The sequence below is a fragment of the Homo sapiens genome, chromosome 1, assembly GCF_000001405.40.
Source record: "Homo sapiens chromosome 1, GRCh38.p14 Primary Assembly".
In the NCBI taxonomy this organism is placed as follows: domain Eukaryota; kingdom Metazoa; phylum Chordata; class Mammalia; order Primates; family Hominidae; genus Homo; species Homo sapiens.
The window spans coordinates 62,818,519-62,835,977 of record NC_000001.11 but is presented as its reverse complement, the minus strand read 5'-3'; the positions used below and the strand labels follow the sequence as shown (position 1 = coordinate 62,835,977).

At 34.9% G+C, this 17,459-nt stretch overlaps 1 protein-coding gene across 2 annotated transcripts in view; it reads right to left on the bottom strand.

The window, feature by feature from the left end:
* ATG4C (autophagy related 4C cysteine peptidase) overlaps window positions 1–17,459 on the bottom strand; it is an 81,385-nt gene that overhangs the window by 29,539 nt on the left and 34,387 nt on the right. For both annotated transcript variants that reach the window (NM_032852.4, NM_178221.3), the window contains exons 5-9: window positions 16,643–16,973; window positions 14,769–14,839; window positions 6,802–6,938; window positions 1,862–1,940; window positions 1,126–1,202 (exon numbers count right to left, since the gene is read on the bottom strand). In NM_032852.4, coding sequence (NP_116241.2) covers window positions 1,126–1,202; window positions 1,862–1,940; window positions 6,802–6,938; window positions 14,769–14,839; window positions 16,643–16,973 — 695 coding nt within the window. The remainder of the gene's footprint in view (window positions 1–1,125; window positions 1,203–1,861; window positions 1,941–6,801; window positions 6,939–14,768; window positions 14,840–16,642; window positions 16,974–17,459) is intronic.

Here is a 17,459-nt window from a genome sequence, read left to right as displayed (position 1 = left end):
CTGTTTATAAGGAGTCAATTTGGCACTGATCTACTGGAAATGTAACTTGGACACAAGAATCAGTGCTACAAGACCACAAGGCAGAAAGAGAATTACGATGTAGTTCACATGGCACAATTATTCTGTAGTGCCTTCCCCAGTACCAATCAGTCAACTAGCAAATATTTATTAAGGTGCAAGATACTATGAAAGAACAAAATAGACCTGACCTCTGGCCTCCAGATGCTTATACTTTAATTGAGGTAATAGTTTACAAAGGATGCCAAAATGTTTTATAATATATCTTTCTGAACCAGATTTTAACCTTGTGGTTTATCTATTTTCATATTCTACCTCTTAAATACTATTAGGTGTTAATATTAGCTAGCAAGCAATTACTAAAACAAAGTATTCAGCTATATTTGCAACTCATCAAGTCCTTGAAAATTAGTGATCCATGACACTCAAGTGATTTAAGTTATTTTATTCTGTAAAATTACTTTAGTCTGTAAAAGCACCAACTGGGAAAACAATCAAAACCATGTAATAATTACATGTTTCATTTATGTATTCTCAAATTTTTCTGAATTAAAATACTGGATCACAAAATGACCTGTATAAAGGAAAAGAAGAGGTTAAGAAATAAAAGCTCAAAAAAAATTAGAAACCCAACTAAGCTCTTGAAAACTTCCTAACTAAAGGCTAAGATTTAATTACTGTACTCAAAGCAAAATAATTTAGCAGATAACCGCATTAAGTCGCTTTGTTACTCTAACCCGTCTATCCCTTTCTATTTTTCTTTTTTTTTTTTTTTAAACAGGCCTTACATTTTAAATTCTTCAGTACTGTTTAGCTGTCTCTATACAAAATTACTTGGAGACTTGATCATTTATTTTAGTATGGCCAGGGTTTCTAACAAGTTAGAGACAAAGATAAATGAAGAAGAAAGTATATCATAAATTAAAATTCAGCAACAAAGTACTTAACCTTTGACCACTGTGTTAATTATGGTTCTATAGATCAGTAAAATATTGATTATTAACCAGTAGTTATAATACCGTAAAAGCATAGCTACCTAGCACATCTCTAAATAATTAGTTTACTTCATATGGTAAGAAAACAGTATCAGCTTTTTATCCACAGTACCTCAAGAGGGAAATCCTTTATGCTGACATCTACAAAAGATTGGCAGTAATGAGGATCCATGTAAATCAAACTGTCATCTACAAGGACAAAACAGAAGACAAGTAATTCAAAAAACACCTTATTATTACACTGCTTACAATCCAATTTCTATGTAGAACAGCTGAAAAAAATCTGGGAGTAACAGCTTGCCAGACTGATATTCATTGACTGAAACATAGGTTTGCACAGGATAGATTAACTTTTGCATAATCAAATATGCTTGTATAAGCAGAATTTTTATAAAGTGATGAGACTGTCATTTAATTTTTGGTGATAAAATTGCTTTCACAAACACACAATTATATTCTACAGTTTGCATATGAAAAATGTATTGCACTTCTTTATCTTGACAGGAAGAACATATTGCTTGTCATTTTATCATCTACTTGCACCACTAAAACTGGTAAAAAGTAAATATGTAAACAGCAACTGCCAGAATGTGGCAGTGATGTTTTCTGAAGTTTAGCGCAACCAATAAATTATGCCTTGTTTATGCAGTAACAGAAATTAAACATATATTTTACAGAATCTAATTATGTTGTGGACCAAATGACAAATGAGTGGCTATAGTAGGACTGATGAATGTATAAGGTACTCGTTTTGCTCTGTTAATCATCCTGTTTCCAGATGATCTCATATTAACTTTCTGACTTTTAAAAGAAAACAATGAAGAAATATATTTTACTAAATCACTAACCTTGAAATCCAGCAAAGTAATATGACTGTTTAGGTTTGCCACCAATAATACCCACACAATATTCCAGGCTTAAAATACCCTGCCAAAAAAAATTAATACAGATTTAGTCAAGAGGCAAGTGGTAATTATTCAAAGCAAACAAATTTCTATTACTAATATTAGTAGCTCCCAAATTTACCACTACCAGTTATCATTTATATTACATTTGCACCCAGGTTCTGAAATCCACTTGTCTTCCAAACTGCCTTCCTTTTCTTTAAATCACTCAACATTAACATGACAAATCAAATATTTTGATCAGCGTGTTGCTCAACAACATTAAACAACTACTACATAGAGAGATAATCAATTTTACCACCGTAAGGCAATAAAATTCCTGCCAAAGCCAATACACTTAGCCTTCCAGTTAGCTGGTGCAGCTTCACTGTGATCAACGTAAAATTTTCGTCAGGCTTTTTGAAATGCTAAAGATAGTTCTTAGTCCTTACTGCTGTTTTCATTGAACCTTGAGTCTTAGAATCACAAATTGAAAGCCATTTTCTAATCAATGGCATTCACTCAAATTTTTTATGCTACTTCATTTGAAATAAAGAGTAATGAAAATAACTTAATCCAATGAAAATAATAATTATTGCATTTAAAGCCAATTTATTTTACTAATCATAAAATATCAGGAATACCACAATAAATTATTTAATACACCCCTCAGCAATCTATTCTAAGCAGAACTCTATTTAAGTTAGGCCAAATCAACTCTATATCTTTTTAAAAACATGTCCAATTGAGTAAGTTTAAAATGTCTAGTGGAATCAATTAATGTCTTAACAACAGTTCCTGCAATAATTTTGATATATCCTATAAAACACTAATAATGATAAAGTATAGGTTATAAAATCCCAAAACTATTAAACAATAATTAAGCTTTCCTTCTCTTAAATGAGAGGATGTTTTGAAATCTCTAAGATATAAAAATAAATATATGGACAAACGTTCTTTTTCCTTTAACAAGTAACCAAACCATACAGAACACACACACATACAGGAAATACAGAAAAAAGTGAAACTTTTCCCAAATTCCAACACCCAGAGCTCATCATTATTAATATTTGGGGGAACACCTTCTTAACATCTGTCTACATTACATACATACACACACAGATTTACAAATACAATTTTATATATGTGAAATCTCACAACACATGCCATTGTAACCTTTTGTTGCTCATTATGTCATGAATATCTTTTCCTATCAATAAATAGAGATCTATATTAATAATATGTAGTAGCTGAAAAATATTCTATTTTATGACAACAAAATGTGCTTTAAAACCTCCACTATAAATATTTAAGTCATTCCAAGTTCTCACTGTTATAAGTAACCCTCCACTATAGTTTGAACATTTTTATTCCCTCCAAAATTCATGTGTGGGAACTTAATCCCCAATGTAGTGTTGAAAGCTGGAGCCTTTGGGGAGGTGTTTAGGTCATGAGGGCAGAGCTTGCATGAATATCAGGTTAAAATCTTAGAGCTAACTAAAAATAAAGATAAAATTGTATCAAAAATCTCAATGTTGCTATAAAAAGGACTTGCAGGAATGGTTTCTCTCTCCTGCTCCTCTGCCACGTGAGGACAGAGTTCGCCCTCTTTCGGCCCTTCTGTCTTCCACCATGTGAGAGCGCAGCAAGGAGACCTTCATCAGATGCCAGTGCCTTGATCTTAGATTTCCCATCCTCCAGAACTGTGAGAGAATAAATTTCTGTTCTCTATAAATTACTCAGTCTCCAGTATTCTGTTACAGCAGCAAAAAATGGACTCGGACACCCTCTAAAGAACAACCTTGTATATTCTTAGTATTGTAAAAATATCATGAAGTTTTTTCTGAAATGATAAACTGAATGAGAGCTGCAACTGAAAAAATTAAACAGAGAAAGCATATCAGGTTAAAATCTTAGAGCTAACTAAAAATAAAGACAAAATTGTATCAAAAATCTCACTAAACAGTAATAAAGTTACTTATCAATTAAGAATTCTACTGTTTTCCCCCTAAATAAAAATCCTTAATACAATTAGAGAGTGCCTTACTTCGAGGCAGTCTGATCAGTTGAAATGCAATGTTTATATCATAGAGACCTGTGAGGCAGTGAAAGTTCTATGTCTCTTACAACTGAGAAAAGAAAGAAAAAAATATATAGCAAGGATTGTCACTGACTCTCCTCAGAAAATGAATGGTTCTAAGTAACGGAAGAAAGACTTTGGTTCTTGACATCTGTATTTCCCTTGCAACGCATTAGAGCAAGTTTAGTAATAAACGCTTAGAAGCAGATTAGGAGCTAGAATGCCTTTACATGTAAGAGGCTGTATCTTTGGATTGAAACACTTTTCAGTTCCTAAAAGAGCTTCTTTACAGTTATTTTTCTAGTGGTGAAAATTTATTGAGCTGTATCCATGAAGCAATAAATAAGACTGAAGTAATCAGTCAAAAAAAAAGTCCTAATTTGTCTCACTGAAGAAAAAGAACATATTGGATTTTCCTCATTCCAGGTCCTTAAAAATACATACATACATACATAAATAAACCTCCTGTGGTAAGGACGAATAAAGCACACAACAAATTTCCTTCTTCTCATACAATGTAGCAGGATGCTATGTTGGCACTATCTCTGAAATACCTTGTTTAATAAATTTGAAAAATAGAACTGAACAGTACATTTTAGACTCACCAACGCACATTGGTTTGGCAGGAAAAAATACAACGGCTGACCATACATGAAAAAAAGGAAAAAATTATTTTTCTTTTAGGGCTAATGAACACACTACCTTTTCACTTCTAAGTGAATACCTCTTTACATGCTCTCATTGGGGTTTGACTCAACCATCCCCTCTGGCCAAACATAATACCTATCATATAACCTACTCCACTTAACCATTTCAGCCATTTTTACCTAACTGGAAAATCAAAATGTTTCAATAGTCACTGCTCTCCCACTGTAGTGGACTACGGTGTAAATCAAGTTAGTAAAAGCTCGAGAAAATGTTACCTTTCAAAAAGTTCATGTTTTAGAGAAAACCATGAAAAACAAACTTACAGTCAAGAAAAGTCTAGTCTCTGCTACCAGTTTGCTATCTGAATTTGGATATATCACTTGACTTCTCTATGTCTTTTCTGTTTCATAAAGACAATCCAGTTCCTAGCTACTGTGAGGGCAAAATGAGATAAATTTACATTGAAAAGTATTATACAAATTAGGGTTAACAAATATGTATTGAGTAACTCCTATATGTTAGATACTGAGGCTTCACTTTAACAGCTTAACCATAGTTCATTTCACTACAAAAAGAAAAGTCCTAATTTGTCTTGCTGAAGAAAAAGAACATACTGGATTTTCCTCATTCCAGGTCCTTAAAAAAATATAAATAAATAAACCTCCTGTGGTAAGGACCAATAAAACACACATCAAATTTCCTTCTCCTCATACAATGTAGCAGGATGCTACATTTCACTACAAACCATGGTCAAGCTATTAACCATGAATCACTCAAGAGCATTAGGCAGTGAGACCATCTAATGAATACTATCAATACCACCAAATAGCAAAGTCCTCAGCCAGATGAAACATGCCTGAAGCCATTTGCAACCCATTCCACCAGGAATGAAGCTTTGGCTAAAGGAATCAGTTCCAAGACTGCATCAGTTTCTAATCTTCTCATGGTAGTAGAGAAGGCAAAAAAGAATCCAGTTCAGATTTGATTAGAACCCACCTAGAGATGACAACATGTCAGAAGTCTCAAAACCCTCAACAGATTCTCTAGATGAAGTGGTTCACAGCTTCTCATACTGCACCAATAACCCTACTAAAGATACATGTCAGACATCAAAACCTTACCTTTATTTGGAAGATTAATATGTCATTGATATATTACAGTATTGTTACTCTTAGTAACAAATGTGCTTCCAAAATTTTAGTAACTATTAAGAAAAGCCAGTATACCAGCTAAAAAACTTCCATGTATATCATATGTTAAAAACAACTGCTCTAGATTTCTAGAATTAGCACAATCTACCCTGAGAATAGATGTTCCAACTAAATATATAGAGACTATAACATGGGATGCCTCATGGAGGGAACAAATAGTTATTAATCATAAAAGATAGATTCAGACTTTATTTCAACATTACTATATCCCATAACACTCCATTTAAAGAAGAATTCCAACTATTGCTGCAAAAAGAGACTACTAAAAAATGAAGAATTTTATTGAAACTATGAAAATAAACTAAAAACTTCTGCCTTAATCAGAAACTATTTCCAAGGTATTTTATCATATGTGAATGTCTTGGTGCCCAAAACAAGATACCATAACTACACAGGTTCTTTTGAAGCAAGAAACCAAACAATGTGCTCCAAGAAAGAACCGATTTTTAACTGGTTAAGATGAAAAAAACAAAGTTGGAATTCCTCCAAATACTATCTTCATATCTTCATTATTTCTAGCTATAGAAATAATCTCATCTCTTATTGACATCATGGTGTCACAGGAAACATATTATGAGATAACATAGCAGTAATAGAGAGTTTTTTCAATAATTAATGTGATGTAGTTTAATGCTAGTTTTATGAATAAAGATATATACTTAAAATTACAAATAAGAATAATGAAACTGTAACTATATTACAGGTTATGATTATTGCTGCATCTGTGTCTCCCTGATTAGCTACAAAGATTAAAAGGCTTTTCATTTTGTTATAGAACACTGTGCTCTTCAACTCACATTGGTCTTATAATACCAAAATTTAAAATCTCTAATGTCAAACTTTACAACGTACAACGTACAACTACAAAATCATCACTACTCATTTAACAGAAAAAAATTGCAAACCTTCTATATTTTTCATATTAGCTAGTATTGCCCTAAAAAAGTTCAGCACTTATTTCATACCTTCACAAATTCTAAGTAGTCGGTGTTGGTTCTTTCTCCACCAAGTCTAACAGGAACTAGAATAATAACAGCTTTGTCATCTGCATTATCAGAAGTCATGGAAGCACTCTGTTTATCAATTACATCAGAATTGTAAACTGAGAAAAACATAATGAATATGTATTAAATTTTATATAAAAGCGATTTTCAGAAATATTTTTACCCAAATTTATCCTCCACCCCGCAATGGACAGCCAGCTATCTCATCTCTGGCATCACCAGAAATGTCTTAGTAAGTTAAAAATACCACTAGGATAACTGGCTAGCCATACACAGAAGACTGAAGCTGGACCACTTCCTTACACCATATATAAAAATCAACTCAAGATGGATTAAAGACTTAAATGTAAAACTCAAAACTATAAAAACCCTAGAAGACAACCTAGGCAATACCATCCTGGACATAGGAACAGGCAAAGATTTCATGACAAAGATACCGAAAACAATCGCAACAAAAGCGAAAATTGACAAATGGGATCTAATTAAACTTAAGAGTTTCTGCACAGCAAAAGAAACTATCAAAATAGTAAACAGATAACCTATTGAATGTGAGAAAATATTTGCAAACTATACATCTGACAAAAGTCTAATATCCAGCATCTGTAAGGAACTTAAACAAATTTACAAGAGAAAAACAAACAACCCCATTAAAATGTGGGCAAAGGACATGAAAAGACACTTTTCAAAAGAAGATATACATGTAGCCAATAAGCGTATTAAAAAAAGCTCAATACCACTGATCATTAGAGAAATGCAAATCAAAAGCACAATGAGATACCATCTCACACCAGTCAGAATGGCTATTATTAAAAAGTCAAAAGATAACAGATGCTGGCGAGGTTGTGGAGAAAAGGGAATACTCATACACCACTGGTGGGAGTGTAGATTAGTTTAACCATTTGTAGAAAGCAGTATAGCAATTCCTCAAAGAGCTAAAAACAAAACTACCATTTGACCTAGCAATGATTACTGGGTATATACCCAGGAAAATATAAATCATTCTACCATAAAGACACATGCACACGAATGTTCACTGCAGCACTATTCACAATAGCAAAGACACAGAATCAACCTAAGTGCCCATCTCACAGTTAAGAAAATGTGGTACATATACACCATGGAATACTATGCAGCCATAAAAAAGAATGAGATCATGTCTTTTGTGGCAACATGGTTGGAGCTGGAGGCCATTATCCTTAGCAAACTAACACAGGAACAGAAAACCAAATACTGCATGTTCTCACTTAAAAGTAGGAGCTAAATGATTAGAACTCATGAACACAAAGAAGGGAACAACAGACACTCGGGTCTACTTGAGGATGGAGGGTGGAGGAGAGAGAGGAGCAGAAAAAATAACTACTGGGTACCAGGCTTAATACCTGGGTGATGAAATAATCTGTACAACAAACCCCCGTGACATAAGTTTACCTATCTAACAAGTACCACATGTACCCCTGAACCTAAAATAAAAGTTTAAAAAAAATACCTACCTGATTTATGTATTCAATAGATACTTATTGATAGCTAGCTACTATATGACACTGGGCCTTCAGCAGCAGGCAAAACAGAAAAATTCCCACTCTTCTTGAGCATGCATGCTAATGGAGGAAATAGAGATGGTGATGCATGCTTTGAAAAAACAAAGAGAGAAGAGTGAACAGGAAATGCTGAGGGGGAGGCAATTTAAAATAAGGTGGCCAGGGAAGACCTTATGAGAAAGTAATATTTGAATCAAGACCAAAAGAAAGAAACCAAGTAATACAGACAGATACCTAGGGGAAAAGCATTCCAAGTTAAAAGATCAAAAAGTGCGAGTATCTTAAGGCAGAAGTATAATTAGCATGTCCCAGGAACAAGATGCCAGTCTTCTGGAGGGAAGTAAACAAGGGGTACAGTAGCAAAAATGGGATTAGAAGATACGATTATAGTTATAGGGGAGAATGAAGACAGATTGTGTGAGCTCTTGAAAGCCATTGTAAAGACCAGTTTTTCAATGATGGGAAGCCATTGAAGAATTTTTTAGGGATGTCCTAATCTGACTCACAGTTTAACAGCCTGTTTCCTGTGTTCATAATAGACTGTATAGGCAAGGGGCTGCTCTGCCTATGGAGTAGCAACTTTTTTATTCCTTTACTTACTTAATAAACTTGCTTTCATTTTACTCTAAAACCAAAATAGGCTACAGGGGCAAGGGCTAAAGCACAGAGAACAGTTACAAAGCCGCTGCAGTTATCCAGCAAGAGATGATGGTGGCTTTCCATTATGAGCAAACTATTGCAAGGACAGAAAACCAAATACCGCATGTTCTCACTCATAGGTGGGAACTGAACAATGAGAATATTTGGACACAGGGTGGGGAACATCACACACCAGGGCCTGTTGTGGGGTAGGGGGAGGGGGGAGGGATAGCATTAGGAGATACATCTAATGTAAATGATGAGTTAATGGGTGGAGCACACCAACATGACACATATATACATATGTAACAAACCTGCACGTTGCGTACATGTACCCTAGAACTTAAATTAAAAAAAAAAAGAAAGAAAAAAAGAGATGATGGTGGTTTGAACAAAGGTAGTAACTGTAAAAATAGGGAATGGTCGGCCGGGCGTGGTAGCTCACGCCTGTAATCCCAGCACTTTGGGAGGCTGAGGTGGGCAGATCACGAGGTCAGGAGATCGAGACCATCCTGGCTTACATGGTGAAACCCCGTCTCTACTAAAAATACAAAAAAATTAGCCAGGCATGGTGGCGGGCGCCTATAGTTCCAGCTACTGGGGAGGCTGAGGCAGGAAAATGGCATGAACCCGAGAGGTGGAGCTTGCAGTGAGTGGAGATCGCACCACTGCACTCCAGCCTGGGTGACAGAGCTAGACTCCATCTCAAAAAAAAAAAAAATAGGGAATGGTCACGTAGAGGTGATCAGTTTGGCCAGGTGTGGTGGGTCACGCCTGTAATCCCAGCACTTTGGGAGGCCAAGGTGGGTGGATCACTTGAGGTCAGGACTTCGAGGCCAGCCTGGTCAACATGGCGAAACACCGTCTCTACTAAAAATACAAAAAATTAGCCGGGCATGGTGGCAGGCACCTGTAATCCCAGCTACTTGGGAGGCTGAGGCAAAAGAATCGCTTGAACCTGGGAGGCAGAGGTTGCAGTGAGCTGAGATCGTGCCACTGCACTCCAACCTGGACAACAGAGCGAGATTCCATCTCCAAAAAAAAAAAGTGATCAGTTCATGTATCTGAAGATAAATAAGGACTCACTATTAAATGTAAGATGTGAGAGAAAAAATTGAGTCACAGGTGATTTGAAGGGTTTTGGTTTAAGCAAACAGAGTAAGAAAGTTGCCATTTATAAAGACATGGAAGACTGGAGGAGGGGAAAATATAGGAGGGAGAATTGGGAATTCAGTTTGAGATACTTGTTAGGTAAACAGAAAGGTTGAGTAGACAGGGACACGCAACTGGAGTTTAGAGAGAGGACTAGAATGGACCTATCAATTTGGGAGTTACCAACATGCAGATTACTATCTGCATTATAAAGCCACAAGACTTGGTGAATTCAAATCAGTATAGACAGAAAAAAAGATGAGATGAAGTCTAAAGGCTGAGCACTAAAACATGACATTTTTAGAGATCAAGGAGATGAGGAAAAACCAACAAACCAGGCTGTGAAGGAGTGAATAAGGAGGCAGAGGGAAAATCTACAGAGTAGTGTCCAGAAATCAAGTAAACAAAGTGTTGTAAGGAGGAAGAGGAAAGAGTCAACGGTGTCAAATGCTACTGATAGATTGTGTGATATGAGGACTGAGAAGTTACTGCGAGGCTTAGAAAGATTAAATTATTGGTAAGAGCAGTTTTGGGGTGGGCACAACGGCTCATGCTTTTTTTTTTTTTTTTTTTTAGACGGAGTCTCCCTCTGTCACCCAGGCTGGAGTGCAGTGGCACGATCTTGGTTCACTGCAGCCTCCGCCTCCTAGGTTCAAGGGATTCTCCTGCCTCAGCCTCCCGAGTAGCTGGGACTACAGATACCTGCCACCACATCCAGCTAATTTTTGTATTTGTAATAGAGATAGGGTTTCACCATATTGGCCAGGCTGGTCTCGAACTCCTGACCTTCTGATCCCCCTGCCTTGGTTTCCCAAAGTGCTGGGATTACAGCCATGAGCCACCATGCCCAGCCAGCTCACACTTATAATCCCAGCATTTTGGGAGGCTGCGGCAGGAGGATCACTTGAAGCCAGGACTTCAAGACCAGCCTGGGCAACATAGCGAGACCTTCATCTCTATAAAAAATTTCAAAATTAGCCAGGGATGGTGATGCATGCCTTTAATGCTAGTTACTTGGGAAGCTGAGGCAGGAGCAACACTTGAGCTCAGGAGTTTGAGGTAACAGTGAGCTATGATCGCACCACTGCACTCCAGCCTGGTCAACAGAGTAAAACCCTGTCTCAAAAAAAAAAAAAAAAGAGAGAGAGAGAAAGAGAAAAGAGCAGTTCTGGTATGATGGTGGGTATGACAGTCTAAGTACCACAGTTCAAGAGAAAATAGGAGGATCTGGTAGAAGCAAATATAGACAAAATTTTATTTTATTCAAATTAAAGTAGTTTTATTCAAAACATACTTTACACCCATACTCCTTGTCAGTTGAATGAAACTCTTCTGATCTTCCCAGAAGAGCCGAATAGGAAATTCTGCCACTTCTGTCCCAGTTCTTTCCTTTAAATTCCAAATTTAGACTGAGCTATCAAATTCTTCTCATCACCTAACTCCCCTATCTCCCATAGTCAATTGAAACCAAAGCTACAAAAATGCCATGGTAGTTCTCCCTCATCGGGATAGAGATTGCATTCTTACCCTTCATCTTCATTCGACACACATTTATTGAGGACCTGCAATTTATTTATGTGTTCTACACTAGAGAGGTATAAAATAAATAAGATCCTGACTTCAAACACTGTCTAGCCCAAATGTTTGGTGTTTTTCCTTCACTTCCAATATATATGTAAGGTATATGACATAGTCCAATTCTGTAACAGAGGCTCATTACAGCAGCGAATCTCAACCAAATGATTCTGATACCTTACTTCTACGCCTGCTACCTCAACAATCATTGATATTATATATAAGAAACAAACAATTATAAGGTGATATCACAAGTGAATTATAAGTTCAATATTTAATAGAAGTATTTCCAAATGTTACAGACCACAGAGGAAAAGTAATTCTGCCTAACGAGAGTTGGGAAAGACTGCCAAAGGTATAACCTTTGTGCGTGTTCTTGAAGAATGAATAAGACCTAACAAGAGGCATTCTAATAATAAAAAGCATTCCAAGCAGAGGCAATAATATGCACAAAGGCATGGGGAAAAAAGATAATGACACCATGTCTAAGGAATGGCCTGAGGGCGGAAAATATTTTAGTGTACTGTGTATGGAAGATAGTTAGAAGGTGATGCTGGAAATGTAGGTCGGGACAAATTATAAAGGACTTCATTGTGCTTCATATGCCAAGATAACATGAGACTAGGAGTTAATGGGCAGTCATTGGTTTGTAGATAAAGGGACATGATCAGTTTCTTTTGATCAGATGGACCAAAAAGGGAAAAGAGGACAGGTAGGGAAATCAAGCTAAAGTCCAAACAAGAGATAAGGGTCTGATCTAAATCAACGAGAATGAAGATGAGAGAACAGATTTCAGGAACATTTTCTTAAGTGTTGACTGACTAAATATAATATAAGCAATGAAAGTGCAGTCAAGAATAAATGGGTTCTACTTACTACTTGAGTACATATGTGGACATGCCACTATTAGTCAAGAGAAAATAGGAAGAAAAAGGGGTGGGACCGAGGGAAACAGTAAGTGTACTTTTAAACGTGCTGAATTTGAAGTGTTTGTAGAATACGTAAGTGGAGATATTTGAAAGGTGGCAGAAAATATAAGTTATCACATATTGACTCAGGTAGGGTTAGAAATGTTTTTTGAGACAGAGTCTCACTCTGTTGCCCAGGCTGGAGTGCAGTGGCACAATATCAGTTCACTGCAACTCCGCCTTCAGGGCTCAAGTGATCCTCCCACCCCAGCCTCCCGAGTAGCTGGGACTACAGGCATGTCACCACCATGCTCAACTAAATTTTGTATTTTTTGTAGTGACAGGGTTTCACCATGCTGCCCAGGCTAGTCTTGAACTGCTGGGCTCAAGTGATCCCCCGACCTCGGCCTGTCAAAGTGCTGGGATTATAGGCATGAGCCACTGTGCTTGGCTCTAAAAATGTATTTTTAAAAGTCCTAGTATAGAGTACATAGTCCTAAGTATTTAAAGCCATAAAAATAGATGCAATTACAAAGGAAAACAACACAGAATAAGAAAAAGAGAAAATAAATAGAAAACAAAACCTTTAAAAACACTAATGAAGACAGAGGGGGAAGAAATCACTGATAGAGTCTGGTCTCACTTAATTCCTAATCTCATAGTCTATAAAAATTATACAAATACAAGTTCTCCCTTTAGGAGTCTTAAACATGAATGATAAAAATTTTAAGAACTTCTTCAAATTACACAAACCATTTCTATAACAAGGAACACTGTAATGTTTGCTTAATTATATGTAACAAATATCTAGGCTGACTGTGTTAATAAAAGCACAAAAGGTAAATTCATACATTTATTTAATGATTACTTGTTTAGGTACATCCTTAGGCTTAATTAGAACTATTTAACACAGCAAATGTTTTTCAAGACTTCCTACTTGAAAAACATAGTACCTGCAAAACTCATATACTTATCTGAAAATTTAGACCTTTTCTTTTCCTATGGCTATAATTACGGATATTGGTCTTTCTTTACAAGGCCAAACAAAAACGCATGAATATTTGGTAACTATTATTACACACTACAAACACTAGGTGGTTATCAGTGTAACCTTAAGCATTTTATAGATACCCTTGTATTAAAACATGATTGAAGTATATTTAACTTTTCTAAAACATTAACATATTTTATCATTGTTAACAGTATTCCTGTAAAAAAAACACTTAACAGCATGAGGTGGCTAAGCCATTTTTAATTTATTAAGAATTGAGGTGTCTATTTTATCCGCAACAAGTTTCAAAATTACTACAGGTTGAGCATTCCTAATCCAAAATCTAAAACTTTTTGAGCACAGCATTTTTCACAAGTGAAAAATTCTACATGTGACTGCATGTGATGGGTTGCAATCAAAACACGGTCAAAACTTGGTCTCATGCATAAAATTATTAAAAATAGTGTATGATATTTCCTTCAGGCTATGTGTATAAGGAGTATACAAAACATAAATGAATTTCATGTTTAGACTTCAGTCCCATCCCCAAGATATCTCATTACATACATGCAAATATTGAAAGGTCCAAAAAATACAAAATCGGAAACACTTGTGGTCTCAAACATTTTGGATAAAAAATACTCAACCTGTATAGAGAGTGATCATCAAAAAGAAGACCCAAAACAATAAAACAAAGCAAATCTGGACAATAGCTGCATCATTAGTAGATGATTTACTGAAGTATTAGTGAGAAATATATTCAATTCCTCATAAGATAAACTAAGAATTTTCTTTCCTTGAAACACGTCCACCAATGAAATGGTTCCCAGCATACATGCAGCCCAAGTATATACCTATGTTAAATTTTCCTGCCTATCACTTTTAAAGTAGTTATTTGAAATGCTGAAATTCTTTGAGAATTTATTTTAATATCGCAACTAAAAATTCATAGTATGTATTCAATCAAAAAATATTTTTATTAAATGCTTACTACATTTAGGAACAAAAATGTATAAGACATGGTCCCTACCTTCATAATCATTTACAGTATTACTGGGATAAGCTAAACACATATAAAAAGTATGACCAAATAAAACAAAGATTAGAATTATATACATTCCTTACCTGTACAATCTTGTGCAACATAAATAGTTATTCCTTGTAAATCAGGATGCCTTGCTTCTTCAACTGCTTTTCTGAGAAAATAACAAGCATTATCTTTCAAAATCCTAACATTTCCTATTGGCAACTAAATATTTAATTTAAGAAGGAAAAAATGCCAGCAGTTTTGTGACTTTCCTATTTAACTCATAGTGTCTGCTGTCAAAAACTATTATCTGAATGGTATCAGACATCAGATTAAAATTTTCAAAGTTGAATATTACATTAAATTACTCAAAGAACATTAAAACACAAATTACAAAATACATTAAAAAAAATTATTGGGTATAAAGCTCTACTCCCCTCCCTCCAAAAAGAAGGATTTCTCTCAACCACTCACCTTACCAGTGGTATGAATATGCTGCAAGATTTGCTGCAAATTAACTTACATTACTGACTAGGAGTCAATTACTGTGTCTGTCCTCTAGTACACTTAAGAAACTGTTCGTTCTTTAAACAACAGCATGACTTTTTTCCTTCATTCAAAAACCTATATGACCTGAACAAATGAATTTCCTAATTTCAAGTCTTGAAATTATATAAGTAAAACTGTAAATTAAACAATATTCCTAAGTATAATGTTCTCAATGGTGTACATGATGTGAAAAAAATCACAATAACAATATCTATAAACGGTGATTATGCAAATTGTGGAAATGTAATTTTATTTAACTATATATGTAATCATTTAATTGAAAATGCCCTATTATTCATGTTCCTATGTGTTAGTGTAGAAGAAAGACTGGCAAACTATGCCCATAAGCTGAATACAACCTGTATCCTGTTTTTGTACCATCTGCAAGCTAAGAAAGGTTTTTGACAGTTTTAAGGGACTGGAGGGAGAGGAAAGACGGTCAACAGAAACCTTTACAAGACCTGTGAAGCCTAAAATATTTACTATTGTCACTTCACAGAAGAAGTTTGCTGTCCCCCGGAGTAGAGAACATCTTGAAGGGTAGAAACTATGCTTTTATGATTATGCTTTTATAAATGTCATACCAAGTTGGAATTGATATATTATTAACAATCAAATTAATAACATTAGGCAAATACTTTTCAATTGTAAGCATCTGGCCTATAAAATATAGAAGCATGTTAATATGCAAAAATGCTTTGTAATGATTTCAAATTTATATATGATTTTAAATGGAGTAAATTTAAATCACAACATGCTATACTTATATGAAATATTAATGATTTAGTTTATAACAAAAATGGGATACACACACAAATAAGATAATTTTTTTAAAAACTTGGTATCAAAATAAATGGTACATAAAAAGCTGAAGTAAAGTGAAATTTGACTTTTGACTTTTTTCTAACTATCCTGAATGTCACAGATCCTTTACTTTTACCATGATATAATTATAATATTAATAGTGCCATACATTTCCAATTCACAAGAATTTGATGTGTGCAAAGAAATGCCGAAAATATCAATTTTAGCTCTTGACATTTCATTACACTATCAGTACATTACAGCCCCCAGGTTACACTATTAAAAAAAACTATAATGTTATGCACGTTCCAAGGTTGAAAGAGATGTTAGTGTTTAGAGCATTTCAGTAAGGTATTCTAATGAAAACCTGGTTAGAAAGAGACCTGGGATGTCTATACCTAAGAGAAAGAGAAGAAAAATTTGTCAGTAAATAAATTAAATGTAACTAGAGTCGCAATATGTCTTCTTTTTTCCCTGCTGGCAAATGAAAGCGTCTTTATCAACATTCTCATACAGTTAGACTTTTAAAGTTCCAATTATATATACACATTGCAAAAATCAGTATCTCTTAATCCTGAGGACCTCTGTCACAAGAAGAAAGATTTTAAAACAATTTTACCTTAAAATGTGAGCAACCACAGCTGGTCCATACCAATCTCCTGCTTTTTTCCCAGACTTCTTTCCATATTCTATTAGTTGATGTAAGCCAAAAAGAGCCAAGGGGGAATCACCAAACCAAGAGATGATTTTCCTATGATAAACTTCATTTCGCATTTCATGATCATCAGAATATTTCCCAATTGTTTCCTTCAGAGAAATTGTTGGGGTTTTGAATTCTCTTTCCCCTGAAAGTGATGCTTCAAATGATGCAGTAAATTTTTTGACAGTGTGGGAAGTCCATGATTCAGAGTCTGAATTTTCAATATTCAAAGCATCAGGCCAGGTCCAAGCTATAGTAGTTCCAAAGCAAAGTGTTCAGATCTTTTAAATAGATACTTTAACAATTCTACTAAAATAAATACGTAGCATTTAAGGTCATTTGGGTTACTAAGACAGTAAATTCAAAAATAGGTAAATACATGGAAACAAAAAGTAGATTAATGGTTGCTTAGGGAGAGGTACTGGGAGTGGCTGCTGATGAGTACAAGGTTTCTTCAAGGGATGATAAAAGTGTTCTAAAATTAGATTTATGGTGATGATTGTGGAACTCTATAACTATGCTAAGAACCACTGAATTATTCACTTGAAATGAGTGAATTTATGGTATATAGGTTATATCTCAATAAAACTGCTTAAAAAACAAAGGTACAAGACAACAATATGCCAAATATCAATGATGTTTCTACCTTAATGGTATTATTCTCTGTACTTTTCTGTAGTTTCCAAAATTTCATATAATCAAGAAAAAAATTACAAAAATACAAGACAAAAGAAAG